The sequence below is a fragment of the Homo sapiens genome, chromosome 20 (genome assembly GCF_000001405.40).
Source record: "Homo sapiens chromosome 20, GRCh38.p14 Primary Assembly".
In the NCBI taxonomy this organism is placed as follows: domain Eukaryota; kingdom Metazoa; phylum Chordata; class Mammalia; order Primates; family Hominidae; genus Homo; species Homo sapiens.
Genome location: NC_000020.11, coordinates 41,340,821 through 41,367,884, shown reverse-complemented (window position 1 = coordinate 41,367,884; position 27,064 = coordinate 41,340,821). Strand labels below are relative to the sequence as shown.

At 57.3% G+C, this 27,064-nt stretch overlaps 2 protein-coding genes across 27 annotated transcripts, besides 4 other annotated features; one reads left to right on the top strand and one right to left on the bottom strand.

The window, feature by feature from the left end:
* The first annotated feature begins 1,066 nt into the window (after positions 1-1,066).
* EMILIN3 (elastin microfibril interfacer 3) lies at positions 1,067-7,923 on the top strand. Its single transcript, NM_052846.2, has 4 exons — positions 1,067-1,417; positions 2,728-2,850; positions 4,024-4,247; positions 4,831-7,923. Exons 1-4 carry the CDS (start codon positions 1,251-1,253, stop codon positions 6,615-6,617), a joined length of 2,301 nt encoding a protein of 766 aa, NP_443078.1. The 5' UTR covers positions 1,067-1,250; the 3' UTR covers positions 6,618-7,923.
* Positions 1,829-2,330: an enhancer, noted in NCBI's record as "H3K4me1 hESC enhancer chr20:39994195-39994696 (GRCh37/hg19 assembly coordinates)". NCBI's record gives its function as "activates a minimal SCP1, AML or CMV promoter by ChIP-STARR-seq in primed H9 embryonic stem cells {active_cell/tissue: H9 hESC(primed)}" and the evidence as "EXISTENCE:reporter gene assay evidence [ECO:0000049][PMID:30033119]".
* Positions 7,303-27,064, bottom strand: LPIN3 (lipin 3). 26 transcript variants are annotated; one of them, XM_011528997.4, is made up of 21 exons: positions 26,883-27,064; positions 26,576-26,705; positions 21,890-22,089; positions 20,238-20,333; positions 18,998-19,266; positions 18,713-18,796; positions 17,991-18,111; positions 17,488-17,830; positions 15,965-16,064; positions 15,665-15,825; positions 15,186-15,279; positions 15,018-15,087; positions 13,148-13,240; positions 13,022-13,065; positions 11,851-11,989; positions 10,697-10,845; positions 10,438-10,524; positions 9,928-10,248; positions 9,534-9,648; positions 9,343-9,446; positions 7,303-9,163 (listed from the first exon to the last, which is right to left on the bottom strand). In XM_011528997.4, the coding sequence occupies exons 3-21, from the start codon at positions 22,079-22,081 to the stop codon at positions 9,019-9,021; spliced, it is 2,727 nt and encodes a 908-aa protein (XP_011527299.1). In that variant the 5' UTR covers positions 22,082-22,089; positions 26,576-26,705; positions 26,883-27,064; the 3' UTR covers positions 7,303-9,018. The 26 variants fall into 26 exon arrangements, 22 of the variants coding, with proteins under 22 accessions (XP_011527299.1, XP_047296340.1, XP_047296342.1 ...); XM_047440384.1 differs by having other exon boundaries at positions 9,851-10,003; XM_047440386.1 differs by having other exon boundaries at positions 9,851-10,003; positions 18,713-18,793.
* Positions 8,615-9,222: an enhancer, noted in NCBI's record as "H3K4me1 hESC enhancer chr20:39987303-39987910 (GRCh37/hg19 assembly coordinates)". NCBI's record gives its function as "activates a minimal SCP1, AML or CMV promoter by ChIP-STARR-seq in naive H9 embryonic stem cells {active_cell/tissue: H9 hESC(naive)}" and the evidence as "EXISTENCE:reporter gene assay evidence [ECO:0000049][PMID:30033119]".
* Positions 9,223-9,830: an enhancer, noted in NCBI's record as "H3K4me1 hESC enhancer chr20:39986695-39987302 (GRCh37/hg19 assembly coordinates)". NCBI's record gives its function as "activates a minimal SCP1, AML or CMV promoter by ChIP-STARR-seq in naive H9 embryonic stem cells {active_cell/tissue: H9 hESC(naive)}" and the evidence as "EXISTENCE:reporter gene assay evidence [ECO:0000049][PMID:30033119]".
* Positions 20,327-20,850: an enhancer, noted in NCBI's record as "H3K27ac-H3K4me1 hESC enhancer chr20:39975675-39976198 (GRCh37/hg19 assembly coordinates)". NCBI's record gives its function as "activates a minimal SCP1, AML or CMV promoter by ChIP-STARR-seq in primed H9 embryonic stem cells {active_cell/tissue: H9 hESC(primed)}" and the evidence as "EXISTENCE:reporter gene assay evidence [ECO:0000049][PMID:30033119]".

The following is a 27,064-nucleotide window of genomic DNA, read 5'->3' as shown; positions in this document are numbered from 1 at the left end:
TCACCCTATCCAAAAGGCATTAATTCATATCTCAAGGTCAATTTGGAGGGAGGTCTCTCCAAGCAAGCCCCAGAGTTCTGTACACCTATCAGCTCCTGGGGCAAAGACACAGACGGCTGTAGCCACCGGTGTGGATGAGACAAGGCCAGGAAAGTACCGCTCTGATGACAGAATCAGAAGGACTCTGTGCAGGTTAGAGAGTTAGCAAGGTGATACTGAATGAGGACGACGATAAAACCCAACTCTTGGGTTCCAAGAGTCAACTTCACAAGCAAAATGTGGACGACGCCTGGCTTCACCGCGGCAGTGCCTTGTGAGAAAGACCTGAGGATTTTCTCTGACCAGCCGGCTTAGAGCTTCAGTTGCACGAAAAGCACAGCACTTTTGGCTGGGCTGGGGCGGTGATAGGCCTTTCGGGCTCGGTGCAACCCATACCTAAGACAGAGAGGCAACACAGGCGCCTCCAGAGAACCAGAGGTGCAACCGGGCCACCAGGCTACGTGGCAGAGGTTGCGGGGTAAGGGGGAGGTGGGATGCCTGGGGAGAGGTCAGCGGAGTTATCAAACTAAGGTTCCCGGGCAATGATGGGGCCAGGAGGCAGAGCGAGCAAACGGGGATGATCTGGGGTCTATTCCAAAGAGGTGGCGGGGGAGGTGGTGCTGCTGTGCCCCCAGTCACGGCCATCTCGGCTCCAGAGCCCTGGAGAGCAGTTCCCGGGTTCACACGGACTCTGAAGACAAGCGTATCCTGAGGGTGGACGACTCCTGGAAAGTCCACGCCCAGGCTGGCCTCAGGGGTCCGCTTCTCTGCGTCTCGCCCCGTGCCCGCAGGCGACAGAGTGGCTGGTGTGCTCGGGGGGCCTCCCAGGGCGCGGCGGCCTGCGCCCCTGCCACCTGGGGCTGCTCCCTTTGGAACCTCCTGTTCGCAGGCGGCTCCTCGGCCGTCCGCTCGGAGCTGGGGCGAGGGGCTGGCGGCGGCGAGCGGCGCGGCCCCAAGTTTATGCTAATCCGCAAAGAGCCCGCCTCCCGCCTCCCCTCCGCGGCCCCAGCCGCTAGCAGCGCCGGCCACTCCGCGGGACGCAGCCGCCGCGAAGCGCCAGGCGGCCGGGCCAGCGAGCTCGGGGGCCGAAGGGGACCCCGGGACCCTCGGGGCGGGACCCGGGCCGACCAGCGGCGGGGGCGGCGCGGCGCTGCAGGCGGACACCCGGCGGGGGGCACCGCGCGGGGCCGGGCAGAGGCGCGGGGGCCGCTATGGGCCGCCGCCGCCTGCTCGTCTGGCTGTGCGCCGTCGCGGCGCTGCTCTCGGGGGCGCAGGCCAGGGGCACCCCGCTCCTGGCGCGGCCTGCGCCGCCCGGTGCCTCCCGCTACAGTCTCTACACGACGGGATGGCGCCCGCGGCTGCGCCCGGGGCCGCACAAGTAAGCGCGGGCGGGCGGCGGGCGGGAAGAGGGAGGGATGGGCCCGCGCGCGTCGCCGCTCCCACCTGCCCGCACCCGCGGGGGGCGTCGAGGCCCCGGGCACCCCGAGGCCGCTGCACAGAGGGGGCGGCGCCCGGGGCCGAGCCCCTGCCCAGGCGAGCGCCCTACGCTCCGGGAGGTTGCGGGGCTGGCGAGGAAAAAGGAACCGAGGGGGCCTGGCGCGGCGGCTTGGGATCCTGGCAGTGCCAGCGGAAACCTTTCCAGCGAAGTAACATTTTCCAGCTGCGCTGTGTGCAGACTCCGGGCGAGCGGACCAGGTGGAGGGAGAGGAGGAAAGGCGGTCCGCGCGCTGAGCACGCGGGGCTCCCCCGCCCCGGGCCTCCCTTCTCTCCCCTGGCCCGGCCAGGTAGGAGATAGAGCTGCGCATCCGGGCGGCCGCTGCCCTCTCGCAGTCAGCCTGGCCCCAGCAACCCCATGGGAGCCCCAGCGTGGCCGGGCTGCAGAGCCAGAGCGGGCTCCTGGCTCCGGGCCTGTGCTGTGGCACAGCCGTCCACAGCGGTCGGCTTATGCCAGGCAGCCACCTCCTCAGCCCTTGTGGCTCATCAAGGAGCCTGCTTTCCCCGCCTCAGCTTCTGGTGTTTCGTGGGCAGTGGCTTGCGAACTGGCCTCAGTTAAGTGGGCTGGAGGCTCTGCCTGGGGTGCTGGCTGAACTTGAATTCTAGCTGAATTTGAGAGCTGTTGTAGGAGGAAGAGTACCGACACTCAGTGGGCCTGGGTACATCACAGCGAGCCTCCTGGAGGAGGTGGTACAAGAACTGCTCTGAGAGTAAGGGAACAGGACCAAAGGCAGGGGCTGCAAAACTACGAGGAGAGGTGGATTTCCCCGGGAGCCAGGCAGGGAGGAAGGACAAGACATGGTGCTCTCAAAGGAGTCACTGAGTGGGGACTCGGAAGCCTTAAATGCCAAGATAAGGAGTTTGGAATCAGCGAAGGATGGGGGGGTGTGGCAGGGCACTTGAGGGAGAATCCGGGCTGGCCTCTTCCCCACGCAGGGAGGGGCAGCCACATCAGGCTCCTGGTTCCAAATAGTGCTTAGCCCAGGGGCCACCCATCACGGAGGCTGGAATCAGAGACCAGCAGCGGGGCTGGACCCCAGACCAAGGGCGTTGGCTCCCAGGGACACAGAGAACAGACAGAAGAGACATGGGAGTTTGGAGTCCTGCTGAGGCCCACAGATGGAGGTGGGAGGGTAGGCGCCTCTGTGGGCCTCGCTCAGCCAGATATTCCAGGGGTGCCATTTTCTCCTGTAGGGCCCTCTGTGCCTATGTGGTGCACAGGAATGTGACCTGCATCCTACAGGAGGGAGCGGAGAGCTACGTAAAGGCTGAATACCGGCAGTGTAGATGGGGGCCCAAGTGCCCCGGGACAGTCACGTAAGTGCACTCCTCACCTACACACTTGGAATCCCCTGGCACAAGCGCCAGTCCTGCCTTCAGCTGAGAGCAGCTGCCAACTCCACAAGGGGCTTCTTGGACTCCAGAGAGCCCACCTGAGCCCCCATACAGGCCAGAGTAGAAGGCGGCCCCAGAAAAGAGGGTGCCAAGGAGGACCCCAGGGATTTGGGCTTGCAGCAGAGCATCACCCGCACAGACAGGGGCAGGCTTGGGTTGGAGCCCAGGAACCACAGAGGGACAAGGGGAAGGTTCTGGGGGCAGAGGCAGCACAAGGCTAGGAGGAAGTGACAGAGGCAGAAGGTGAGGGGAGAGGAGGGAGCAGAGGGCCCCTTAGGCAACGGGTGATGCCACAGGGGGGCCTGGCAGGCCCAGGGAGGACTGTGGTGACCACAAGGAGGCAGGCCATGGGGCAGGGAGAGGAAGCCGGAGCAGCAGGGCTGCACGCACATGGGATGCACAGCTCTGTACCTGGAGAGGTTCACGTGTGTGTGTGGAAACAAACCTGTTGTCTCCGGTGTGTCAGTGGGTGAACAGGTACGTGGCTGAACAGTGAGGGCATGGACCCTCGCGAGCCTGCCTGTACCCTGGACCTTCCCTTCCCTGCTCACAATCAGAGGTACCCGTCCATCTGCCTCTCTGACCAGAGCCGAGGTCCCGGAGCAGGCTAGAGAGGAGTGGAAAGAACTAAGGGGAGCAGGTAGGAGCCAAGAGTGGCCCCCAGGGCAGTGAGGGGGCTGCCAGCGCCAGCTCCAGGGCAGTGCCCCTCCCTGCCCACAGGGAGGGCTGGGGCTGTGTCTGATTCTCCCAGGTGCTACTGCAGCCTGAGTGGAATTTCTCATGGCAGCCTGAGCTAGAGGGGGTCCAAGTGGTCTTGGGAGGGATGGGGCAAAATTCCTGCTTCTCTCCAAGCTACCAGGATGGGTGGGACTTCTACCTGCATCCTTCCCTAACATGACTGTGAGCTTCAGGAAGGCCTGCCCTTACCCACCCCTGTCACCTTAAGCACAGAAAAAGTACAGCCCTGGGGGTGCTATGGAGGTGGGGAGATACCCAGCCTTATGCAAGTGTCTGAGGGCGGCCCTGAGTGCCAGCTAGGGGGAGAAGCACAGCCCTCAGGTGCAGGATCCCACTCTCTTGCCCTCCCTGGCCCAGGTACCGCACAGTACTCAGACCCAAATACAAGGTTGGCTACAAGACAGTGACAGACCTCGCCTGGCGTTGCTGTCCCGGCTTCACTGGGAAACGCTGCCCTGAGCACCTCACGGACCATGGGGCTGCCTCACCCCAGCTGGAGCCTGAGCCTCAGATTCCTTCAGGGCAGCTGGACCCAGGCCCCAGGCCCCCTTCCTACAGCAGAGCAGCCCCCAGCCCTCATGGTGAGTCTGCCCAAGGAGACCCTCCAAGGTGATTGGGTTTCTTGGGCTCAGTGGCAGGGGCAGGGAGGGGACTGATCCCAGGCTGGCTGAGCTCCGGCATGGATGGGGAGGGGCAAGCCCCAAGCCCCACTTTCACCCCACCATAAAGCTGAGGGAGTTATGCCCAGTGAGAAGGTAGGCTTAGAACAGAAAGTCTGGGCTGGGCGCGGTGGCTCATGCCTGTAATCCCAGCACTTTGGGAGGCCGAGGCGGGTGGATCACGAGGTTAGGAGATCGAGACCATCCTGGCTAACATCGTGAAACCCCATCTCTACTAAAGATAGAAAAAAAATAGCCGGGCGTGGTGGTGGGTGCCTGTAGTCCCAGCTGCTTGGGAGGCTGAGGCAGGAGAATGGCATGAACCCGGAAGGCGGAGCTTGCAGTGAGCCAAGAGCACACCACTGCACTCCAGCCTGGGCGACTGAGCAAGACTCTGTCTCAAAAAAAAAAAAAAAGAACAGAAAGTCTCTTGGGTGGCCTGGCATTGTGACAAGCTGAGAGGGTGAGGCCAGTGATGCCCCTGGGGCTCTCTTCTCTTTCCCAGGAAGGAAAGGCCCAGGGCTGTTTGGTGAGCGGCTGGAACGCCTGGAGGGTGATGTCCAGCGCCTGGCTCAAACATATGGTACCCTCAGTGGCCTGGTGGCTAGCCACGAGGATCCCAACAGGATGACTGGTGGCCCCAGGGCTCCTGCTGTCCCTGTGGGCTTTGGGGTCATCCCTGAGGGGCTTGTGGGCCCAGGAGACAGAGCCAGAGGGCCACTAACACCTCCCTTAGACGAGATCCTAAGCAAGGTGACAGAGGTGAGCAACACTCTTCAGACCAAGGTGCAGCTTCTAGACAAGGTGCATGGGCTGGCACTTGGCCATGAGGCCCACCTGCAGCGGCTGCGGGAAGCCCCACCATCCCCGCTCACCTCCCTGGCCCTGCTGGAGGAGTACGTGGACCGACGGCTGCACCGACTCTGGGGGAGCCTGCTGGATGGCTTTGAGCAGAAGCTGCAAGGCGTCCAGAGTGAGTGTGACCTGCGGGTGCAGGAGGTACGGCGGCAATGTGAGGAGGGTCAGGCCGCCAGCCGGAGGCTGCACCAGAGCCTTGATGGCCGGGAGCTGGCCCTGCGCCAGGAGCTGTCACAGCTGGGCAGCCAGCTGCAGGGCCTGAGCGTGTCTGGCAGGGGCAGCTGCTGTGGGCAACTAGCCTTGATCAATGCCCGTATGGATGGCCTTGAGAGGGCCCTGCAGGCAGTCACCGAGACCCAAAGGGGCCCCGGTGCCCCGGCCGGGGATGAGCTTACGAGGCTCTCTGCTGCCATGCTCGAGGGAGGTGTGGACGGGCTGCTTGAGGGTCTGGAGACGCTCAATGGGACAGAGGGTGGAGCAAGGGGATGCTGTCTGAGGTTGGACATGGGGGGGTGGGGAGTGGGCGGCTTTGGGACCATGCTGGAAGAGCGCGTGCAGAGCCTCGAGGAGCGCCTAGCAACATTGGCTGGGGAGCTAAGCCATGACAGCGCCTCTCCGGGCAGGTCAGCTCGGCCCCTTGTACAGACAGAGCTGGCTGTGCTAGAGCAACGGTTGGTCTCACTGGAGACTTCGTGCACCCCGAGCACCACCTCAGCCATCCTGGACAGCCTCGTGGCAGAGGTGAAGGCCTGGCAGAGCCGGAGCGAGGCCCTCCTACGCCAGGTGGCCAGCCACGCAGCACTGCTCCAGCAGCTCAATGGCACTGTGGCCGAGGTCCAGGGACAGCTGGCAGAAGGGACGGGCAGCTCACTTCAAGGCGAGATCACTCTGCTCAAGGTCAATCTGAACTCAGTGAGCAAGTCGCTCACAGGCCTCAGTGACTCTGTCAGCCAGTACTCTGATGCCTTCTTGGCTGCCAACACGTCCCTGGATGAGCGGGAACGCAAGGTGGAAGCCGAAGTCCAGGCCATCCAGGAGCAGGTCAGCAGCCAAGGCTCCAGGCTTCAGGCTGGCCACAGGCAGGTCCTGAACCTGCGTGGGGAGCTGGAGCAACTCAAGGCTGGTGTGGCCAAGGTGGCCAGTGGGCTGAGCCGCTGCCAGGACACAGCCCAGAAACTTCAGCACACAGTGGGACACTTTGACCAGCGGGTGGCACAAGTGGAGGGTGCGTGCAGGAGGCTGGGCCTGCTGGCCGCGGGCCTGGACAGCTTGCCCACTGAGCCACTGAGGCCCAGAGAGGGCCTGTGGAGCCATGTGGACCAGCTGAATCGTACGCTGGCCCAGCACACGCAGGACATTGCCCGCCTCCGGGATGACCTACTGGACTGCCAGGCCCAGCTGGCTGAGCAGGTGCGGCCAGGGCAAGCCAACTAGACAGGCTGGCCAGGACCCAACCCCTAGATCCCACCAACTCGGGGAACATCACCCCAGAGCCCAGCCTTATCCAGCAGCGCCTTCCAGCCTTCCCTGGCTAGCCCAAATGGCACTAAGGAGGCCACTGAGGGAATCCTCCACGTGGCTGTCCCAGCCACCAAAACCCATGCACAGTGCTGCAGAAACTGGACAGTTCCGGACAGCGGTCAAGGCAAGGATGTCATGCTTGAAGGCCAGGGTAGACTTGAGAGAGTTCACATTCCACTGTCAGCAAATCAGTGTCTGGACAGCCAGCTGCAGGGCCTGAGCATGGCTGGCAGGGGCAGCTGCTGTGGCAAACTGGCCTTGATCAGTGTCCGTATGTAAGGCCTTGAGAGGACCCTGCAGGCAGTCAGCACCAGCCTCAGCAACTGTGCAGAGACCTACAGGCCCACAGCCAGTGGCCTGTCCGCATTGCCCTGTGCCCACAAGCAACAGTCCACAGCCCTTGGTGGCTTCTGTTCCTTGTCCCCTCGGCTTCTCTTCGCAGCCATCAGGACTAGGTTTGTGCAGGAAGGTGATGCCCACTGGAACTCTCCTCACACCTGGCAGCTTCATGGATGTTGTATCTGAACTAAGGACCAGAGGCTGCCAGATGTTTCTGGCTCCTCACGTGTCCTTCAGGACAGAACAGAAGCACAAAGACTCAGCCAAGAGTTCTCTTTATTCCCTTTGATCCTCCCCCAAGGTGAGGGCTTAGGCAGCTGTAGAACCCCAGGAAAGAACGGAATCCAGGCAATCTGTTTAGAGACCCCCCACTCCAAATTTATCCTTTTCCTTTCCTTCCCCTAAGATGTTTCCAGGGCCCTCTGGTGCCCACACTGTCCTCTTCCTTCCACTTGGGGGTGGGGAAATCCTTCCTGCGAGGTCAGGGCATTTCTCTACAAAGTGGCCTGAATGAGGCCAGGCCCTGAGAAGGAGCCACCAGCTGGAGGAAAGGGGCTCCAAGCCTTGCTTTTAACACCCCTGCAAAACCCCCACCCTCCCAAGATGTTCACAAAAGGTGAGAAATTCAGGTACGAAACCATCAATGGACAACTTGAAAATGCATGTTCCTCAGGCCTATGCAGTTCCCAGAGACTCTTGACACCGGTCTCTGCTGAGGCTCCCAGCCTCAGTTTCCCCCACAGCAGCACGGGCCCCACTGTGCTGCTCTTCAGGTCCCCACAGCCCTGCCTTTGGTTCCTGGACATTTGGTATTCTGCCCTCCACTCTGGTACTATCAGAGTAGGGCAGGCTCTGGATTAAAGCTTTTAGCCGGTCTAAAGCTACTTTCTTCAAAGACAGTGGGAGGAGAGGTTGCTGGGGCATCAGCCCTGCTTCCCACAGCTCCTTAGGCAAGAGCTTACCCAGCAGCTGTGAGCACCAAGCTGGCCAGCAGAGGCTGGGGGAGGACTTTCAGGCCAACACCTGCCCCAGCTGAGTTTGGGACTGTCCTTAAGCGAGGTCTGGAGAGAGGCAGCGGCAGCAGCCGGACGGGGAGCAGGCCAAGCCGGAACCACAGCCTGCAGGTGTGGGTGTGTGTCATGTGCTGAGATGCCAGGGCACCAGCAAGGGGGATATGTTGGCAGTGATGTCTGGCTTCGGAGGGTACAGTCCTGGCTCCCAGACAAGGGGCGGGGAGAACACTGTGTCCTTCCAGAGGCTGTACCACACTCCCACTGCTGTCACCCTTCACTGAAGCCTCGAGCCTCGGTAGGGCCTCCCTCTTCTCCCTGTCCTATCAAGACTTACAGCAAGGTCCCAGGTTGACAGGGAGACAGATATCAAGGGCATAGAAAACCCTGCAAGGAGGCCTGGCATGGTAGCTCATGCCTGTAATCCCAGCACTTTGGGAGGCCGAGGTGGGCAAATCACTTGAGGTCAGGAGTTCGAGACCAGCCTGGCCAATGTGGTGAAAACCCATCTCTACTAAAAACACGAAAATTAGCCAGGCGTGGTGGTACACGCCTGTAATCCCAGCTACTTGGGAGGCTGAGGCAGGTGAATCGCTTGAACCCGGGAGGCGGAGGTTGCAGTGAGCCGAGAGATCATGCCACTGCACTCCAGCCTGGGCAACAGAACAAGACCCTGTCTCAGGAAAAAAAAAAAAAAAAAAAAAAAAAGAACCCTGCAAGGGCCCAGATGACAAGCTAATTGCCCCAGGACAGTGCCACACTGACGCCTGGAGCAGCTGCAGCTTAGCTGGCAAAAATATGACGGGGAAGATGGGGGAGTCTCTCTAGCTGCCAACCAACCTGCAGCCTCCTCCTTCCCCTTCAGTGGGTTTGCCCCATGACACTCCAATTCCCACCCTCCTATACCCCAGGACACCTAGCCAGTCCTGGGCCGGGCCAGGGAGGAGGAGCCAGCCAGGGCAGGTTCAGTCCAGGGTATCAAGGTCCACAGCAGGCAGTGGCTCCCGCCAGTAGCAGAAGTTACTGTATTCAGGGTTGGCCAGGTCTGTGCTGGGGCCACGGGCCACAGGTGGGAAGAGGAGCTCGACCACTTCACCAAGCCGCTCATACCTACAGGCAGAAGGGGGCCAGCACTGAGCCTGAGCTGCCACCAAACGATGGCCTTGGCCATGGGTCTGTCCCAGAGTAAGGGACAGACTCCCCGGTAAGAGGTAAAATTGGGGCCCAGGGAGAAGCCAGGGCAGGGGGACGTGGTAGGGCATGGGGAACATGGCAGGGTTTAGCCTCACGTGGATTTGTGGTTCTTTATGAGCTCCTGGATGAGCTCTCCCCGGGGGTTGACTGTGAAGATGCGTGACTCAGGCAGGCCCACCTGCCGGTAGGCAAAGACATCCTGTGGGAGACAGGAGGGGCCCATGGAATGGAGGCCTGCAGGCAGCTGGGGAGAGGTGGCTCAGCAGAGTGGAGGGGACACACTCACATTGGGCCTATTCCCAAAGGCAGCATAGAAGGGCTGTCCGTGGGGCAGAAACAGCTGCTGGATGTCACTCAGGCAGGCGACCTTGAACACCTCTGGTTTCTTCTCGATCACCTCTCTGGGGTGGCCAGAACCACAGCAGGGAAGGGGGCCAAAGTAGGGAAGAAGCCAGAGGGGATGGCAGGCTCAGGTGATGGGGGGTCTGACCCCACCCTCCTTGCCACCTGAGAGCTTAATGCCAGCCTGCTAAGGCTGGCCTGGCAGTGGGCCTGCCTTTCCCCACCAGGGGGCCACGGGCTTGTATGTGTAGGGGTGGTTACCTGTGGAGGGCAGAGAAGAGGCTGCTGGGAGACAGAAGGATGGGGCCCTTGGGGAGGCTACAGCCCCCCTCGCTCACCCACTGCAGGTACCCCTTGGTGAGGTCCGCCATGCCAATGGCCCGCGCCGAGCAGTACAGGAACTTGTACCCATTTCTGAGAGTGGGGGACAGGGTGGCATAGAGCCATCAGAGACCAGCCAGCCCCCATCTGTTTCTCTGGCTTTAGCCTGCCCAGCCCAACTGTGGGACTCTGATGTTCCAACCTTTGCAGGGAGGGGACTTGAAGAGAACGGCCAGGCAGTGGACTCAGCTGGACGGTGCACAGAGTCCTGAGGCCTGGGTGGACCAGGATGGAGAGGGCCTCCCCTCCGGCTGCAGGCCAGTAGGTGGGCCCTGATCCTAGAACACAGCCCCAGGGGATGAGCCTTTCCCAGAACTGCGGGCCAATAGAGAGGTCTCAGCACTCCAGGCACCTGCCCTGGCAGCCTGCCTTGTGGGCCCTGCTGGTCCCCAAGATGTCCTGTCCTGTCACTCCCTCTCTAGAGCTGGGGGCCTCGCCTCAGCCCCAGCCCCAGCCCAGGCACTCACAGTTGGATTTTGTGATAGAGACTGGTGATGCCCTGGTGTGTCCAGTCTTTCCCCAGCTGGGGCAGGATATGGCCCAGAGCATCTGACCTAGAGTGAGAGAGGAAGGGTTACTCCAAGGCAGCTCCACGTGGCCCAGCTCCAGCCCCAGGATGGCCCACCAGGAAGGGAGGGCTCCTCTCACTCCCCACCACACCCAGCACAGAGGGAGGCGAGTCCACAACCCCTCTCCCTCCCCTTCCCACAGCTGGGTGGGCCTCACTTGGTGATGGTGCCGTCGATGTCAGAGATGACCACCTTGTCGTCCCATTTCCACAGGTAGATGGTGGCCTTGCAGCGGCAGGTGCCCTGGTACTGAGTGGTCACGCTGAAGACCACATCATTGGCACCTTCTTGCAGGTTCAGGCGCCGCTGAGGCCAGACAAAGGGGGGTGTGTCGTGATTGATGACAGCCAGGCACTGCCTACCTCTCCCCTTACGCCGTGGCCTCCGATCCCCTCGGGCCTCTCATTCTCCTCTTCCTCCCAGCTCAGAGATGCTTCTTGGATTCATCAGAGATAGCCATGCACAGACACATCCATGTGGGCAGAGGGTGGCCATGCTGATCAGGGCCCTGTCCAGTGCAGGCCACAGGAGCCCTAGCCTCCCTTCACTCCCCTTTGAGATGTAACCCACAAAGCCGCATCCATGACTCCCTGCCCAGGATTCCCAGGCCAGCCCCAAGGCTGGGACTGCTGTTGGCAGGAAAACACCCCCCTCCATAGATGGGGGTCCTGTGGGGATCTCCATAGGAAGCCCCTCCTTGGGGCCAGGGTACCTGAGTCAACATTGTCCTAAGGAGAGGCCTAACCCTGTACTTGATCCATAGGGAAGGATCAGGGCCGCTTCCCACCAAAGCCCTGAGTTGAGTGTGAGCTCCAGGGTACCAGACAGATGGCAGCTGCTTTGTACTGGCTGGTCAGCCCCTCCTGGACACTTCCCTGACCATGGAGCCACAACCATGAAGAAAATATGTTCTTATTCCAGGAGCCACCAGTTACTGAGCTTAGAGAAGAGGTGACTTGGGGCCAAGGGTTGCCAGAATCTGAGGGGCTGTCATTAGCATTTGATTCTTTTTAGTGTTGCTTCCAAGGGCTGACCTAGAGCCTGCTGGCTCACTACAGGTTGATATCTTAGGAGGACCTAAGAGACAGCTTTCCCGGTGTCTGACAGACAAATGGGCTGTCATGAGAAGTGAGCGCCCTGCCCTTGGAGGTATTCAAGTGGAGGCCATCAGGGAGGCTCCCAAGGGGATAGATTCTGGCCTTTGGTGAACATGTGGCTCCCTGGAGCCATTTCTCAGCCAGGTCCTGAGGGACTCTAAGACAGAATTAGCTCAGCCCCTCCCCAACCTCCACACAGACAACCCACACTTACGATCTGATCGGAGGAGAGGCGGAGGGACTTCTTGTAGGTAGGAGTGGAGGGTGGAGTGGAGGGTGGCAAGGAGGGGATCTCCAGGATCACAGGGCTGTCTGGGGCATCGTCATCACTGCTCAGGACTTCTGTCTTCTCCCTGTGGACCACACTGGCTCTCAGGCCATCTCCTCCAGCCAAAGGGCCTTCACTCCCGGGAGATGCCAAGAGGAGGCTGGACCTGTCCCCGCCATGCCAGGGCCTACCCAGGGTATCAGTGATCCCTCCCTCTAGGTGCAACCCATTTGGAGTGGTGGCAGACACAGGGGTGCAGGCTGGCAGTCTCCACCCAGCCAAGTGACAGCAGAGGGTGCCGAGACCCAGGGTTGCCAGCCCTCAGTGTCTGCCTTGGAGATATTTACCTGAAATACCTAAAGTGTATCTCTGGGCTTATTCCCAACCCCACCTGCTTTGGTTTCAGTCAGGCCATCCTTAGCTACTCTCCACCCAGCCTTAGGCAGCTGGGTCACTTCAGATGTGGAAAAGAAACAAAGTCAGCTGGCTTATTTGGGCTGCGAGAGGCCCTGCCCCTCCTTAATAGGGATCCCCTTGTCTGGGGCAGGAGCCTGAGGACCTGTGTCAGCTCTGCCATTTCCTGGTTGTTGGCCAGGAAATGTGTCTCTAGGCCTCATTTTTCCCATCTGTAAAATGGGGCCATTTCTCAGGAGAAAGAAAAGGTATAGAAGTGCTTGCGGTGGCTCACGCCTGTAATCCCAACACTCTGGGATGCCAAGGTGGGCAGATCACCTGAGGTCAGAAGTTCAAGACCAGCCTGACCAACAGGGTGAAACCCTGTCTCACTAAAAATACAAAAGTAGCCAGGTGTGGTGGCGGGCACCTGTAATCCCAGCTACTCAGGAGGCTGAGGCAGGAAAATCGCTTGAACCCGGGAGGTGGAGGTTGCAGTGAGCCAAGATCGTACCACTGCACTCCAGCCTGGGTGACAGAGCCAGACTCTGTCTCAAAAACAAACAAAAACAACAAAAAAAGAAGTGCTTGGTGCTTGAGGAATGACAAAAAAAAAAACCCACAGCTGGAGACAGGGTGCTGGCTCCTCCCTGCCACCCACCTGCACCCAGGGCCATCTTTCCCAGGCTCCCCCTGCAGAGCCCCAATAGGGGGTCTCACTCACCCCTGCTGCTCCTTGGCTGCAGTCTTCTCCTTCTGGGCACTGCGCTGTGGAAAGAACATCCATTAGTGAATCCCACCTCCCGCCCTGTGCTGGCCCTGGCCCTGGCCCTCGACTGTGACCACCCACCTCCTCGGCCAGGAAGTCCCTGCGTCGCCAGGAAAACCACCATCGCCCACCCTTCCGGGGCATCTTCTCCCTCTCCAGCTTGTCCATGGTGCTCTGTGGGCAGATGAAAGCCATGGCAGTGTTTCCTGCACCACATAAACCTCCTACCTTACGTTGTTCTTGGGACCCTCCACGCATGAGCCCAGAGTCTGAGCCAACCCTAGGGTAAGGTGCTGTCAACATCTGGAGGCCAAGGAAGTGTGCTCACCTCCATCCTGGGATTCCAAGCAATGACTTGGGTGAGCTATACTCAAAAGACCAAGGGCTATTCCTGCCCCCAGCCCCGGTCCCTAGCTCTAACCCAGCCTCAGCCTGGCCTCCAAATCTTGTGGATCCATTCCTTTACTAGAGTAGTTAAAAGCAATGCTTTGGGAGTTTCTCAAGATCTGGTACTCCCTATGCTGTGACCAAGTGGCAGCAGGGAGAACAATCTTTAGCTGGTACTCCCCTCAACCTCCAAGACTGCCCCAGGCAACCTCCTAAGGTTGGTGATCCTATTCCATGAACAACCCCCTTTTCTGTATGTTACCATAACTGTCTGGTTGGGGGCAAGTTGACCTTGTGAAAAAATGCTGATTAGATCTATGCTATTATAGATAACCCCAGGGAGAGGCCAGGCCAAGTCCCATCTGGGGGACACACCAGCATCCTACAGACCCAAGTCAGGAGGATGTGGGCTTGGGCTGGGAATAGCCAGGGGGCCCCCTTGAGCTGGGAACAGGCTGGTGGGGTAGGGGTCTCTCAGGGGCCTCAAGCGGTGGGTCTGTCTGGGTAAGGTGAGGAGATCCAAGCAGGGAAGGGACCCTCTTCCTTCCCACAGACTCTGGGTCCTACCTCAGACCCTGTACCAGCCAGAGGACAAAGCTGTCACCCAATGGCAGTGACAGCTGTCAACATCTGTTAGTGATGCTCTTTGGGCAAGCCAAGAACAATAGGCCATGCCAGGTCAGTGTGGTGCCTTGGATTGCTCCCAGAGGGGCAGGTGCAGGTTGGCACAGGCTGGCACTGCCCAGGAGGGCACCATCCTCCATGAGTAGGGGAAGGTGGCTGGGAAGACCAGGGAAGAGGTTCTGGGAAGAGTAAAGAGGCTAGGCATACCCTCATTCCTTTCCCCCTCTGGGCATCATACATGCTGTTCCCCACCCCTGGCCAGCTCAAGGCCCACCCATCCTTCAATCTCTGCACAGCGGGCACTTGCTTATCAAACCCCCTTGCCATAGGCTCTGCAAGCACTGCACACCCATCCTTCCCAGTGCTCAGGACTGAATTATATTCATCTGGATGAGTCTTTGGTTAACTTCGTCTTCCTTTGAGAGCAGGGATAATTTTGTTTCGTTTATTCATGACTGTCCCCAGCCTAGGCCTGGGACATAGTAGGTACTCAAGAAATGTGTGCAGATAAAGAAAGTAAGCACCCTTCAGCCCAGCCTGGAGGAATAGTCTTCAGGCAAGGTGAAGGGTGCAACTTCCATTTCCCAAACCCCGTATTTCAGATCCAAAGGCTTCCCCATATTTCAGATGCAAAGGCCTCCTGCTAAAGACATGTCCTTGTTTAAGCATCTGTTGGATTTTTCTTCCCCTCTGGTTTGTCCTGAGCTCCTCTGAAGTCAAGTTTAAATACAACAGGATTCAGCCACGGCCAGGAAACCAGGGAAGGGTGAGGCAAGGCTTCAGGGACGTGTGTCGCCTCTCCCAGAGTGAGTCTTGCAGCCAGCTAGCCCCTGGCTCCCAGGCCCATCTCTGCTCACCCTTCACTTCCTTGCTAAGGGTCTCCGTGCCCTGAGTCTATGGCTACCTTCCCCAGCAGGGGCAGTGGTGCTCTAACCATTACCTTGGGCAAGTTTTTCTGGAAGGCTTGCAGGGAGAGGATCATGGGGGCAGCCACAGCCCAGTTATAATGCCTAGAGAGACAGAACAGGGCATCAAGCTGCAGCAGCTGCAGGGTTGTGAAGAGGGAAATGACTCTCCGGCTGCCAGCAGCCCCAGCTCTGGGACTTACTTTCCATTGATTTTCACCACTAGGTTTGGGTCATCCAAAAGTCCGGGGTTTTTGGTGAGGTCCTGGTAAGAGACGCTGTGCTGGTTGAATTTCTCTGGGCACAGAGGCAGAGTGAGGGGTGAGGCTGGCACATCCCATGTGACCCGCTGCCCCAGCCCCCTGGTGCTCCCCACTCTGCTGCTCACCTCCTGTCGGTTGGCTTTGTAACCTGGCAGTGCTCCTCCCTACCTGTGGTTTTTACACCTGTTCCCACCCCAGGATTCACAGGATAACTCACAACTTAGCGTCAAGCATTTTGCTTCATGGGGACTTGGGAAGGTCCAGCCCCTGCTGGCGGAGTGTGGACTGCACAGGGCAGAGAGCTGCAGGGAAGCCCAGCCTCTCACCTCTACTGCCCCACCCTCACAGTCTTCCCTGCCCTCCCCATCCTCTGGGCTCAGCACCAGCCCTCAAAAGGGCTTGGCCATGGTCGAACATACCTAGGGAGATGTCCCGGCTGTCAGCCAGTCCACCACAGAGGGACAGTGCTATTGTATCCACTGTGTCCAGAGTGGGTTCAGGTTCATGTTCAGGGTTGGGGTCCCTCAGGGACTTCTGACTGCTGGGTTCACTCCATCTTCTGGCCCCCAGCCCAGAGTCACTGCAGGCAAAGGGGCCAACAATGACAAGAATACGAGGAGGGCGGGAGATGGGTCCTCCCTCCTCACAGGCCCTTGATAGTGGACCCTTGGCCCCAGGAGCCCAGACCCAAGACACCCTGGCATCCAGAACCCAGGCACCTTTGGGGGAAGTAAAGCGCTGCATTCTCAGAGTCCAGGGAGGGCAAGTCATCCAGGTAGATGTCACTGGGGCCCAGGTGCTGGCTTCTCTTTGGGGAGCCTGAGAGTTGAAGAGAGGATATCTGTAGAGCTGACATGTGCTCAGCAGTGTGGACAGTAAGTGCCCTCTGACTCTGAATTCTCTAAGGCAGTGCTGCCCAGCAGAACCTTCTGCAGTGATACAAATGTCCCATGTCTGCACTGCCTGATATATTAGCTGCTAGCCACATGTGGCTATTGAGCACACTTAAAATGTGATCACCGTGTGACAGAGAAATGGAATTCTAGGCTGGGCGTGGTGGCTCACACCTGTAATCCCAGCACTTTGGGAGGCTGAGGCGGGTGGATCACAAAGTCAGGGGATCGAGACCATCCTGGCCAACATGGTGAAACCCCATTTCTACTAAAAATACAAAAATTAGCTGGGCGTGGTGACATGTGCCTGTAGTCCCAGCTACTCAGGAGGCTGAGGAAGGAGAATCACTTGAACCCGGGAGGCAGAGGTTGCAGTGAGCCGAGGTCGCACCACTGCACTCCAGCCTGGGTGACAGAGCGAGACTCCATCTCAAAAAAAAAAAAAATGGAATTTTATATTTTAATTGCAATTAATTTAATTTAATTTTTAATTTTTATTTATCTGTCACCCAGGCTGGAGTGCAGTGGTGTGATCGCATGATCATAGCTCGCTGCAGCCTTGAACTCCTGGGCTCAAGTGACCCTCCTGCCTCAGCCTCCTCAGTAGTTGGGACTACAGGCACATGCCACCATGCCTGGCTAGTTAAAAAAAAAATTTTTTTTTTTTTGTAGAGATGGGTTCTCACTACATTGCCCAGGCTTGATCTTGAACTCCTCAAGCAATCTTCCCACCTCAGCCTTCCAAAGTGCTGGGATTACAGGCATGAGCCACCATGCTGTCCCTAATTTGATTTTAAATAGCCACATATAGCCAGTGGCTACTGATTTGGACAGCACAGGTCTCGTGCTTTCCTAGCACTTTTAGATAAACCTGAGCTTGTGAGCTGGAGCCATCTGAGTCTGCTCATCTCCCCAACTTCCTATCCCGGCCGTCTTCCATTTCTTGCTCAAGGCACGCCAGCTGCTTTCAGTTTCTGGACATGAAACTTCTCTCCAGCCTTACATCCCTGGCACATACTGTTTCCTCTGCCTAGAATTCCCTTCCCCTGCTCCTCACTTGGCTGAATCTTCATTATCCATGTCTTAGCTCCAACATCACCTTCTCGGAGGGGCCTTCTCTGACCACCTGGTTTAAACAGCTCCCATTCCAACCAATGACTATGCCTGTGGCACGCCCTTCCACACATGCAGCATCTGTCTCCCACACTGCACTGTGAGCTTCATGAGGCTGGTGCCAAGAACAGCACCTAGCACACAGCAGGTGCTCAAAATGTACTTGAAGTCCCAGCACCCACCCAGGGGACAGAGCGAGGCCAGGGAGGCAGTGGGAGAGACCCAGCGTCACTCACCTTTCCCCCTGGAGACCCTCTCTGGCTGCCCGGTGGGAACTGGAACCTCCAGAGTGGCCCAGCTCCATGACTTGGAGGCAGGAGGGAGGCCCATGTCCCCAGAGCTCTGAGTCTTGCTTTCCTCTGTCTCTGGGGTGTGGAGAGGGGGACCCACTAGAGTGGGATCCTCTGTGTCAGGCTGAAGGTCGGCACCAGCCTCTGTTTGCTGGATTGGGAGTCCCAAAGGGTCCACGCCGCCAGCCACAGAGGTAGAGGGAGTGCTGGGTCCTCCCCGAGGAGGAGAGGTTGCCCCAGCTCTGCCTTCAAGGACCACTGAGGACTCGGGCCGCTCAGCTCTGGCCACCTTTAGTGGAACAAATGGAGGAAGATGTGGGCCAGGGTAAGGCCCATGCCCCACAAAGCTTTTGGGGCAGTGGCCCGAGTTTCAGTCCCTCCAACCCTGACCCATGGGGGCCACAGAGCCCCTGAAAGGCCGGGCCTGGGGTTGATACAGAGGGACTCACCTTAGGCAGCCTCCCCCAGGCCCACTGCATGTGGGACTCGGCTCTTAGGGGACTGGGCTCCGGGGTCCGCACCTCCAGCTCCGAGTCGCTCTTAGGGGATGTTAGCTCACCTGCTGAGAGGCTGCAGGAGACATATTGAGAGGCCTTGAGCCTGCCTACCCATCCCCGCTGCTGCCCACCCCAGCCAGGGAAAAAAATATGTGCAACCTATATTTATGCCTGTGTTGAATCCATAATATATAAGGAATATGTAAAGATCTAAAGAGTATACAAATATATGAATAACTTATACTAATCAACAAGAAGAAGACAATCCAGTAAGAAGAAGGATGGGAGGGAGGAAGGAAGGAAGGAAGGGAAGGAAGGAAAAAAAAAGAAGATGGCAAAGTTGTAGCTGGATTGCCTAATGGGCATAGGGTTTCCATTTGGGGGATGGGATGTTCTGGAACTAGATAGTGGTGATGGTCATTCAACACTGAATGTACTTAATGCCACTGAACTGTATACACTTTGAAATAGTTAAAATGGTAAATTTATGTTATGTATATTTTACCGCAATTTAAAAAAATCAATAAAAGACTTGAACTCTTTACAAAGGAAAAATACGAATGGCTAGTAAACACATTAAATGGGTCCTGTGTCATTAGTCATCAGGAAAAATGCAAATGGAAACCTCAGACCTTGATCTGGAGTCCTGGCCTGCAGCCCACCTGGACTCTTACCTGGCCTGGGGGGGCCACTCGCCATCCGAGTAGGGGTAGATGTCTTTGGGCTGCAGTGAAGACTTCTCTTCCAACTGGACACTGCTAAGGGGCCACAAGGAAATGGTCACTGATCAGGCAGGATGCCCCAGGCAGGCATGAGAGCCTGGACATCAGGGGCTTGGTAAGGTGAAGCAACTACTGCTCAGAGAGGTCAAGGCCCTTGCCCAAAGTCACACAGCATGAGCAGAGGAAACAGCACTTGAACCCCCAAACTGGGGTTCAAGTCCCTTGGTCCTTACACACCCTGGGGGCTCTGGCCTCAGCTTTTCCGGCAGGGATAGCTCACTCTCAGCGCCTGCCTCCAGTTCCTCTGGACTAGAATCAGTTGCCACTGCATCCTCTTTCTGCTTGGGTTTCCTCCTGCGACGCCTCTTCCTCCGCCCAGTGGAGGCCGTGCCTGCCATGACGAGGCCCTCAGGCTCACTGGCAGTGCCCAGCTGGGAGTCCGAGGGGAAGCCAGACAGACCCCCCCAAGGGATGGGTGAGGTGCACAGGCCGGGAGGCACATGTTCCTGTGGAACAGACCAAGAACTGAGGTCGGGGGCTGACCCTAGTGGGGCTGCGCTCACCACACAGTCATCTTGAGCCTTGCCTGGGTCCCAGCCCTGGAGTGAGCTCATTTAGGGTCAGGAAAACAGGTGTGGAGGCACCAGCCTGGCCCTGTAGCCACTGCTGGCCTCAGAGGTCCCCAACAGAGCCACCTGCCACCCTGGCAGGCCAGGCAGAGATCTTGGCATCGGCCTCTGATCTCCTCTTCTACCCAAGTCTATGACAGCAGACATCTACTTCTGCTTTAAGATTCAGCCATATGTCTCCTCCTCCAGGAAGGAGCCTTGACTATCCCTCTCCCAATCCCAACATCCCTCACTGCAATGACCAAACGGCTCATCATCCATTGTTTATGTGTCTAGCTCCCAGAACAGCCTGGAACTTTCTTTGAAGGCAGGGGTCACCCGTCATCTGAGTCTGTTGCACAGTGTCTGGCCTACAGTAGGGACTCAAAGTTTTTCAAGTTCTGTTTCAACTCCTCTGCTGGCTTCTGCTGGGCCCTGCCTCCCCTGTGCGAACACCCACCACTTACACACTTCTAGGTTCCAGCCACACGGAGCTGGCACCAGACCCAGGACAAGCCAGATGTTATACTTCCCAGCCCCTTTCTTCAGCTCCCGCCTCCTCTTCAAGCTGCCTGGGGAAGGCCTCCTTTTCATCCCACAGGGGCCCAGCTCAGGGGTCCAGTCTTCTGAGAAACCTTCCCCAACTTCCCAGTAAATAGAGTCAGTTGGTACCCTGGCCTCTTCCTCTGGGCCCCCACAGCATATCACGTGTGCCAGAGGCCAGCCCCAACTGATACCCCTGCCTCAGACCTCTGCTGGTGGGGTGCTCCCGGGGAAGGGCGAGGATGGTGACAAATCCCAAGGCTCTGCCCAGAAGAGGCACAGGAAAGGGGTGGGCGGGGCAGGTGCTGTTAGGAGGGCAGACTCACATCATCGCTCTCCAGCTCCTGAACAAAGAAGGCCTCCCCGCTGTCCCCAAGCTTCATGTGCAAGTCCACAGGCTCCCCATTGAGCTCAATGTCTACCTGCAAATGGAAAGCGGTGGCAGGGACATGGGCCTTCACGCCCATGCTTCCGACCACAGGCCTCCTGGCTGGTCCTCCAGTGGCTCCTTGCCGCCCCAAACACCATACTTGCTGGGGTTCCCTCCCTCCGGACCTCAAGTGCCTGGCTGCTCCCCACGAAGGGGGGCTCTGCTGCATCTCCCCTTCCTCAGAGAGGCCTTCACTGAGCTCCCTACCCATCTCTCCCTCACTCACACTGCCCCACTGTCTGAGCCTCATTGTACTTGTCACTGTCTCGGTCTTCTTGTGTATTGCCTGGTTTCCAAGTTCTTCCCTCTGTCTCTCACATCCATAAGAATAGGGACGTGGTCTCTCTTGTGATCGCTGTGTCCCCAGCCCCCAGGTTATTGGCTGCATAAACAATGGTGGGAATTTTAGTGTACTGGCCCTTTGTGGAGTGTTTTCTATAGATTATCTCATTTAATCTCTGCAACCCCTTGCAGTAGCTCCTATCATTACCTCCACTTTACAGATGAGGAAACTGAGGCTTTGGGGGTTTGAGTAATTGGTTAGGAGGCAGCCTCACAGCAAGTGAGCTTATGAAGCCAAAAAGGCTGAGTCTACAACCCAAGCTACTAGCCTCTTAGATATACTATTTCCCATAGGCTACACTTTTCTATTAGGATCCTGGAAACGTCACAGTTGCCTCAGTGTGAATCTTGATTCACACCCTAGACCTTGCTGCTAACAAAAATCTCTGCTGTGCTTGCCTGAGCCCTGTGAAGGTGGAATGGATTTATTTATTTATTTTTATTTATTTATTTATTTTTTGAGACGGAGTTTCGCTCTTGTCGCCCAGGCTAGAGTGCAATGGCACAATCTTGGCTCACTGCAATCTCTGCCTCCTGGATTCAAGCGATTCTCCTGCCTCAGCCTCCGGAGTGGCTGGGATTACAGGTGCCCACCACCACACCCGGCTAATTTTTCTATTTTTGGTAGAGACTGGGTTTCACCATGTGGGCCAGGCTGGTCTCAAACTCCTGACCTCAGGTGATCCACCAGCGTCGGCCTCCCAAAGTGCTGGGATTATAGGCGTGAGCCACCATGCCCAGCCTGAAGTGGATTTATTAAGAGAGAGAAACTAACATTTGAGTGTTTCCCACATAGCTGGCCCTGAGACAGTATTATCAGTTGCTATTGACTTGTCCCACCAGCATCATTAGGCCGATAAAATCATATCCATTTGTGCAGGTGAAGTAACTGGGCTCAGAGGCATGAAGTGACTTACCAAGAACACACAGGTAAGGTCTTAGTAAGCTGAGCCAGGTCTGACGGCCCCAGCACTGGGATGAGCCCTACTGGTCTGTTTCCATGAGAAACTAACTGTGAACCCTCCCAGACCAAAACCCCCAAATCAACCCAAAAACCTTCAAAGAAAGTACAAATGAAGGGAAGCCTGTCCAGAGGACAGATCCCCACCTAAGGGAGGCCCCAGGTCCTGTCCTGGGACTGTAGTGGCTGCCCCAGCTTAAAAAGCCCACTCTGCAGTAGCCACCTCAGCCAGCCTGAGCACTCACCACCTTCTCCCGCGACCGCAGGACGCCCAGCTTGCCAAAACGCACGTGGAAGGGTGAGCACCGGAACGAGCCGTCCACCTGCTTCACCACCAGCACGTCAATGCCGCCGCTCAGTGTGGCTGGGTTCAGGCCCCGGTACAGCTCCTTCACCGTCCCAAACACCGTCTCCGCCAGCTGCCCCACGTAGTTCATGGCTGGTGCTGGCAAAGAAAGGCAGTGGCTTGCACAAAGGTCTGCTCCAGCTCCTCCACAAGAAGCTCCTGCAGCCTGACCACACAGACCCCCAAGTTTACATTTGTGTCACGCCTTGGAGTGCCTTTGCACAGATGGCAGCAGCTGTGCGATGGGAGGTACACCTGTAGATGTGGGTCTAACCCCAGCTTGCCCACTGCCCTGCTAAGGGACCCTTGGGCAGCCGCCTCCTTCCCCAAGTGCCGATGTCCACATCTGTAAAATAGGGCACAAGGTAAAACAATACCCAGTTGCCTCGTGCCTCTAAATGCCATGACTAATGATAATGACCACAGTGTTCCGTGGGTACGGCTCATTTCATCTTCACAACAACCCTGTGGGGCTGGCTGAGCGGGTGTCATTATTCCTGTTTACAGATGAGCCAGCAGAGGCTCAGAGAGGTGGAGTGACCTGCCCAGAGCCTCATAACTATGAAGGAGGGAACCTGAGATCTGAACCCAGGTTTGTGTGGTTCCACTGGGATGGTCCAACTGTGAAAACGGAGGGGGTGGGAAGAGGGGGCAGCCTCATTAGATAGCAGGCCCAGGGCCCTGCTGGATAATGGGTGACTGTGCTAATGAGTACTCTTCTTTTCCCAAGAAGTGGGAACGAAGGAGCCTCCACTTTTCCATCTGAGAAATGGGCTCAGCTGTCTTGCTATCTGCTGGTCCTGTGAGTTGGAAGGTGTCTTGCTGGGCGATTGTAGCTGACTTATGGGGGACCAAGGGTGGGAGCACCCCAGGTACTCAAGGCTCTGTTCAGCCCCATTCCTGGGGTCAGATGCTCAAGGCAGAGCATCCCCTATAGCTGGGGGCTTAAGGCCCCAAACTACAAATTCCTTCCCAGTTTCCCTGGTGGGAAGCCTGTCCATGCACAGCCTGACCCCAGCGGTGTCCAGGCTATAGTTCTCAGACCCCAATTTCAACCCTAACCCCAGCTCCTCAGACCAGGGCTGAGCTGGCTAGGCGCTCAGACCCACAATCAGGCCTTGGGCTGGCCTCAGCCCACTGAAGCTGCTCCCTCCCCCAGCCAGACCGGTCTCTCCAGCTTTCCCACACCAGACAGGCCTGGGTAAGCCCAAAGCAGGAGGCTGAGGCGGCCTCAGAGAAAAAACAGGGCTATGATGAGAGCCTCCTCCAAGCTGGCACAGTGCCTGCCCCAGCAGCTTCAGGTGATCACCCCTGCCCTCCTGGCCAGGCCAGTGGCCTGCTGCCCCTCTGCCTGCCAAGACCCAGACTGTCCTATCTCTACAGAGCACTTTCTTCTCTCAGACCCTGGGTCAGAACCCCTGGAGGACAGCCTGCCATGCAAGACCACTTAGCAAAGAAGCTAAGTGACTTACCCAAGGTTAAGTGACTTTACAGGTGAGGAAACTATTCAAGCTCTTCTAAGCTGACAGGCCATAGAAGGGGTATAGGGAGGGGAGAGAGGGAGTAAAGACTCATATCCAGCTCTCCTGACTCTAGAGCATGGTCTCCTTCCACTCCATGCTTCCAAACCACCCAAGAGTTGGTTGCATGGCCCATGGCCACTTCTGCACAGCCCTGCAATGCCCTGCACTCAAAATGTGGTATGCACCAGCAACAAACATCAGCATCAGCATCACCTGGGAGCTTGTTAGAAACAGAAACTTAGGCCCAACTCAGCCCTACTGAATCAGCATCTGCATATTTTTCTTTTCTTTTCTTTTCTTTTTTTTTTTTGAGACAGGATCTCACTCTGTTACCCAGGCTGGTGTGCAGTGGCACCAAAATGACTCACTGCGGCCTCAACCTCCCAGGCTCTAGTGATCCTCCTGCCTCAGCCTCCTGAGTAGCTGGGACTACAGGCATGTACCACCATAACTGGCTAACTTTTAAATTTCTTTTGTAGAGACAGGGTCTCACTATGTTGCCCACGTTGGTCTCAAACTCCTGGACTCAAGTGATCCTCCCACCTTGGCCTACCAAAGTGCCGGGACTACAGGCGTGAGCCATTGCACCTGGCCTAGCATCTGCATTTTAACAGGATCCCGAGGTGATTCCTGCAGCCTTTCATGTGTTTGAAAGGAACTGCTTTTGTGTTCCCAGTCCACAGTCTACTCTTGGAAGAGCCTAAACGACAAGACCCCCACCTCCACAGCATTTCTCAGATAATGCCACATCCTGCCCATCCTAGGACATCGGATGAAGCAGTGGATTCTTTCAGTCTATGTCAGAGCGTCACAAACATAAGACACAATTCAAATTGCCAAAGTGAAAATGGGATGAAATGAAACTCCCTGGACCCCTAAGATGTCACTCAAATCAAGTTTATCTGCAAGGCACCTGCCATGTGCTAGATGGGACATTTCCACTTTGGTTTCTCCCTACCTAATGCCAAACTCTGAATACAGGTCTGGGGAGACAGAGTGGTGACAGACACTTGGTGGGCAGACCTCTAAACCACTGTGCCCAGGAAAAGCAGAGAGGACTCCAGAGGCTTCCAGGAATTAAGGAGCAAGCATGGGGAGGGGCAGAGCCGGGGTTGGGGCAAAGGTCCATCCAGCTGGAGGCCCAAGCCTGAGCTTTCTGCCCTATTAAGCCCTAGTGCAGTTTCTCAGCTTCAGCATTACTGTCCTTTGGGGCCAGATAATTCTTTGCTGGGGGGTGGGTGGGTGCACTGTAGGATATTCAGCAGCATCCCTGGTCTCTGCCCATTAGATGCCAGTAGCACTTCATCCCCCGCAGCTCCAGGTTGTGACAGCCAAATTGTCTTCAGACATTTTTAAATGTCTCCTGGGGGACAAAATTGCCCCCAGCTGAGAACCACGATCTAGTAGAAAGGGCCGAATAGCAGAGATGGCACCCGGGGTCCTACTCGGATCCAGCCCTGGAGTATTCTCAGGCAAGTAACTGGCTGGCCTCAGTTTCCCCTTCTGTGAACCAAGGCCTCAGTTTTTTAGACCCATCTCCCTCAGATCTAATGTCACGGGAGTCCAGAATTCTCTCCTCTCTCTGTTCCCCCCACTTCACCAATGGATGTCCCCCACATCTGCCTGCTCGGCATTTTGGGGGCCTTCTGTGAGCCCCCCACATCTGCCTGCTCAGCATTTTGGGGGCTTCCAGTGAGCCCCCCCACATCTGCCTGCTCAGCATTTTGGGGGCCTTCTGTGAGCCCGCCTCTGTCTTCACCTATCCCTTAGGCACCCCCTTTTCCCAGGACCCAGCTCTACCTCCTTGTTCTTTTCCAGACAGAGGAGAGCTCTGCTTGGCTCCCCTCTATCACCCTCCACCCACAAACTAACATGTCTAAAATCAGCCACTTCACTCCTCACACCTTCCCAGGAAGCCGAATACCCCTTAGGACTAGTCACTACCCCTCTCTCCCTCCCTAGCCCTCTGAATCTTCTCCCCCAATTTCCTGCTCATCCAGCCCCTCCTTTCTCCAGCTGTCCTAGGTTAAGACTTTATAACCAGATGCCCAGATCACGGGTGGCCACAGGACATTAGGAGAAAAGGCACCAGATTATCTGGGTGCTGATCCCCACTCCGCCATTTGCTAGCTGTGACCATGGGCAAGTGACTTCATCTCTCTGACCCTCAGTCTCAGCCTCCAAAATGGGAATAACATCAGGCACGTGTGAGTAACTAATGACTTTGTGTAAAGCCCTGGAATGCAATAAAAACCTGTATGTACACCTATCAGCAGCAGCATCATGACAGCCCCACTCATGCAGGCTGGTCCTGTGGGCACTGCAGGTCATACTCTGATGAACTGCCCCTGCCAGCAGTTGAGAGTTTGGACTTCTTTTATTTATTTATTTTTTTGAGATGGAGTCTTGCCCTGTCACCCAGACTGGAGTGCGGTGGCATGATTTTGGCTCACTGCAAGCTCCGCCTGCTGGGTTCAAGCAATTCTCCTGCCTCAGCCTCCCGAGTAGCTGGGACTACAGGCGTGTGCCACCACACCCGGCTAATTTTTTGTATTTTTAGTGGAGACGGGGTTTCACCGTGTTAGGATGGTCTCGATCTCCTGACCTCATGATCCACCCGCCTCAGTCTCCAAAGTGCTGGGATTACAGGCGTGAGCCACCGCGCCCAGCGGAGTTTGGACTTCTTAACTTGGCACTCAAGGCCATGCACAATGGTGGCACCACTATTTGCAAAACGAGCATGTGCACTCCACGTAGGCCTCACACCCCACCTTGGGGATGTTCACAGGCCTTCCAGGCTAGACTACAACTCTAGCACAGGGAAGCCAGAGCAAGCTGCCCTAGGACTAGGCTCTCAGCCCTCGGGGCTCCCAGGTTTGGGTGGATGAAGGGTGTGGCTCTCCACCGAGGACCAGAGGGAGCAGGAGAGTAAGCACTCCTAGTGCCCCAGTAGAGAGAAAGCGCCACCCCAGCCCCCAGCAGCTACAGCATCTGATCTGCCCAGTCTCAGGGCAAGCAGGGCAAGGGCCAGTCACTGTTTTGCAACTGAGGACACTGGGTACCAGAGAAAGTGGCTGTCCTCCTCAAGGTCACACAGTCAGGCTGGGGTAAAGCTGGGCCAGCCTCCCCTGGGAGGTTTCGACGTCTCCTCTCCAGACTCTACGTTCTGGGTGTCCAGGGGGCCTGCAGCCGCTGGGCCAGGGAAAAAGGGACAAAATGAGGCCAGTCCCTCCACCCCTGCGTCCCCATCTTACAGCTAGGGGTGGACCCAGGCCCGCGGACAGGAAGGAAGGAATGTAGGATGGCAGGACAGATGGGCAGGGCGGGAGGGGAGAGGGTCATCTCTTCTCCCCCCGAGTTGGGCCCTACCTGGGGAGCTGCCCACTGGAGCTCCTGGACTCAGAGCCGCCGCCTCTACCTACGTGCACAGGCTCCACAGGTGAGTGTCTTCGGCCCTCAGTCACTTGGCGCTTCCGGGTCCTCTAAGACAGGGTGAGAGCACGGCTCCACTCCTTCTACGATCCTAGTGCGGCCTCCACAGGCCCCAATCT

Bases quoted from the DNA above. Each gene is read 5' to 3' on its own strand.
- EMILIN3 (NM_052846.2), top strand. From the start codon at position 1,251: ATGGGCCGCCGCCGCCTGCTCGTCTGGCTGTGCGCCGTCGCGGCGCTG. The intron at 1,418-2,727 runs GTAAGCGCGGGC...TTTCTCCTGTAG, and splicing joins CTGCGCCCGGGGCCGCACAA to GGCCCTCTGTGCCTATGTGG. The intron at 4,248-4,830 runs GTGAGTCTGCCC...TCTCTTTCCCAG, and splicing joins AGCAGCCCCCAGCCCTCATG to GAAGGAAAGGCCCAGGGCTG.
- LPIN3 (XM_011528997.4), bottom strand. From the start codon at position 22,081: ATGAACTACGTGGGGCAGCTGGCGGAGACGGTGTTTGGGACGGTGAAG. The intron at 15,088-15,185 runs GTAAGTCCCAGA...CTGTCTCTCTAG, and splicing joins GTGGTGAAAATCAATGGAAA to GCATTATAACTGGGCTGTGG. The intron at 9,447-9,533 runs GTGAGTGTGTCC...TGTCTCCCACAG, and splicing joins CCTTTGGGAATAGGCCCAAT to GATGTCTTTGCCTACCGGCA.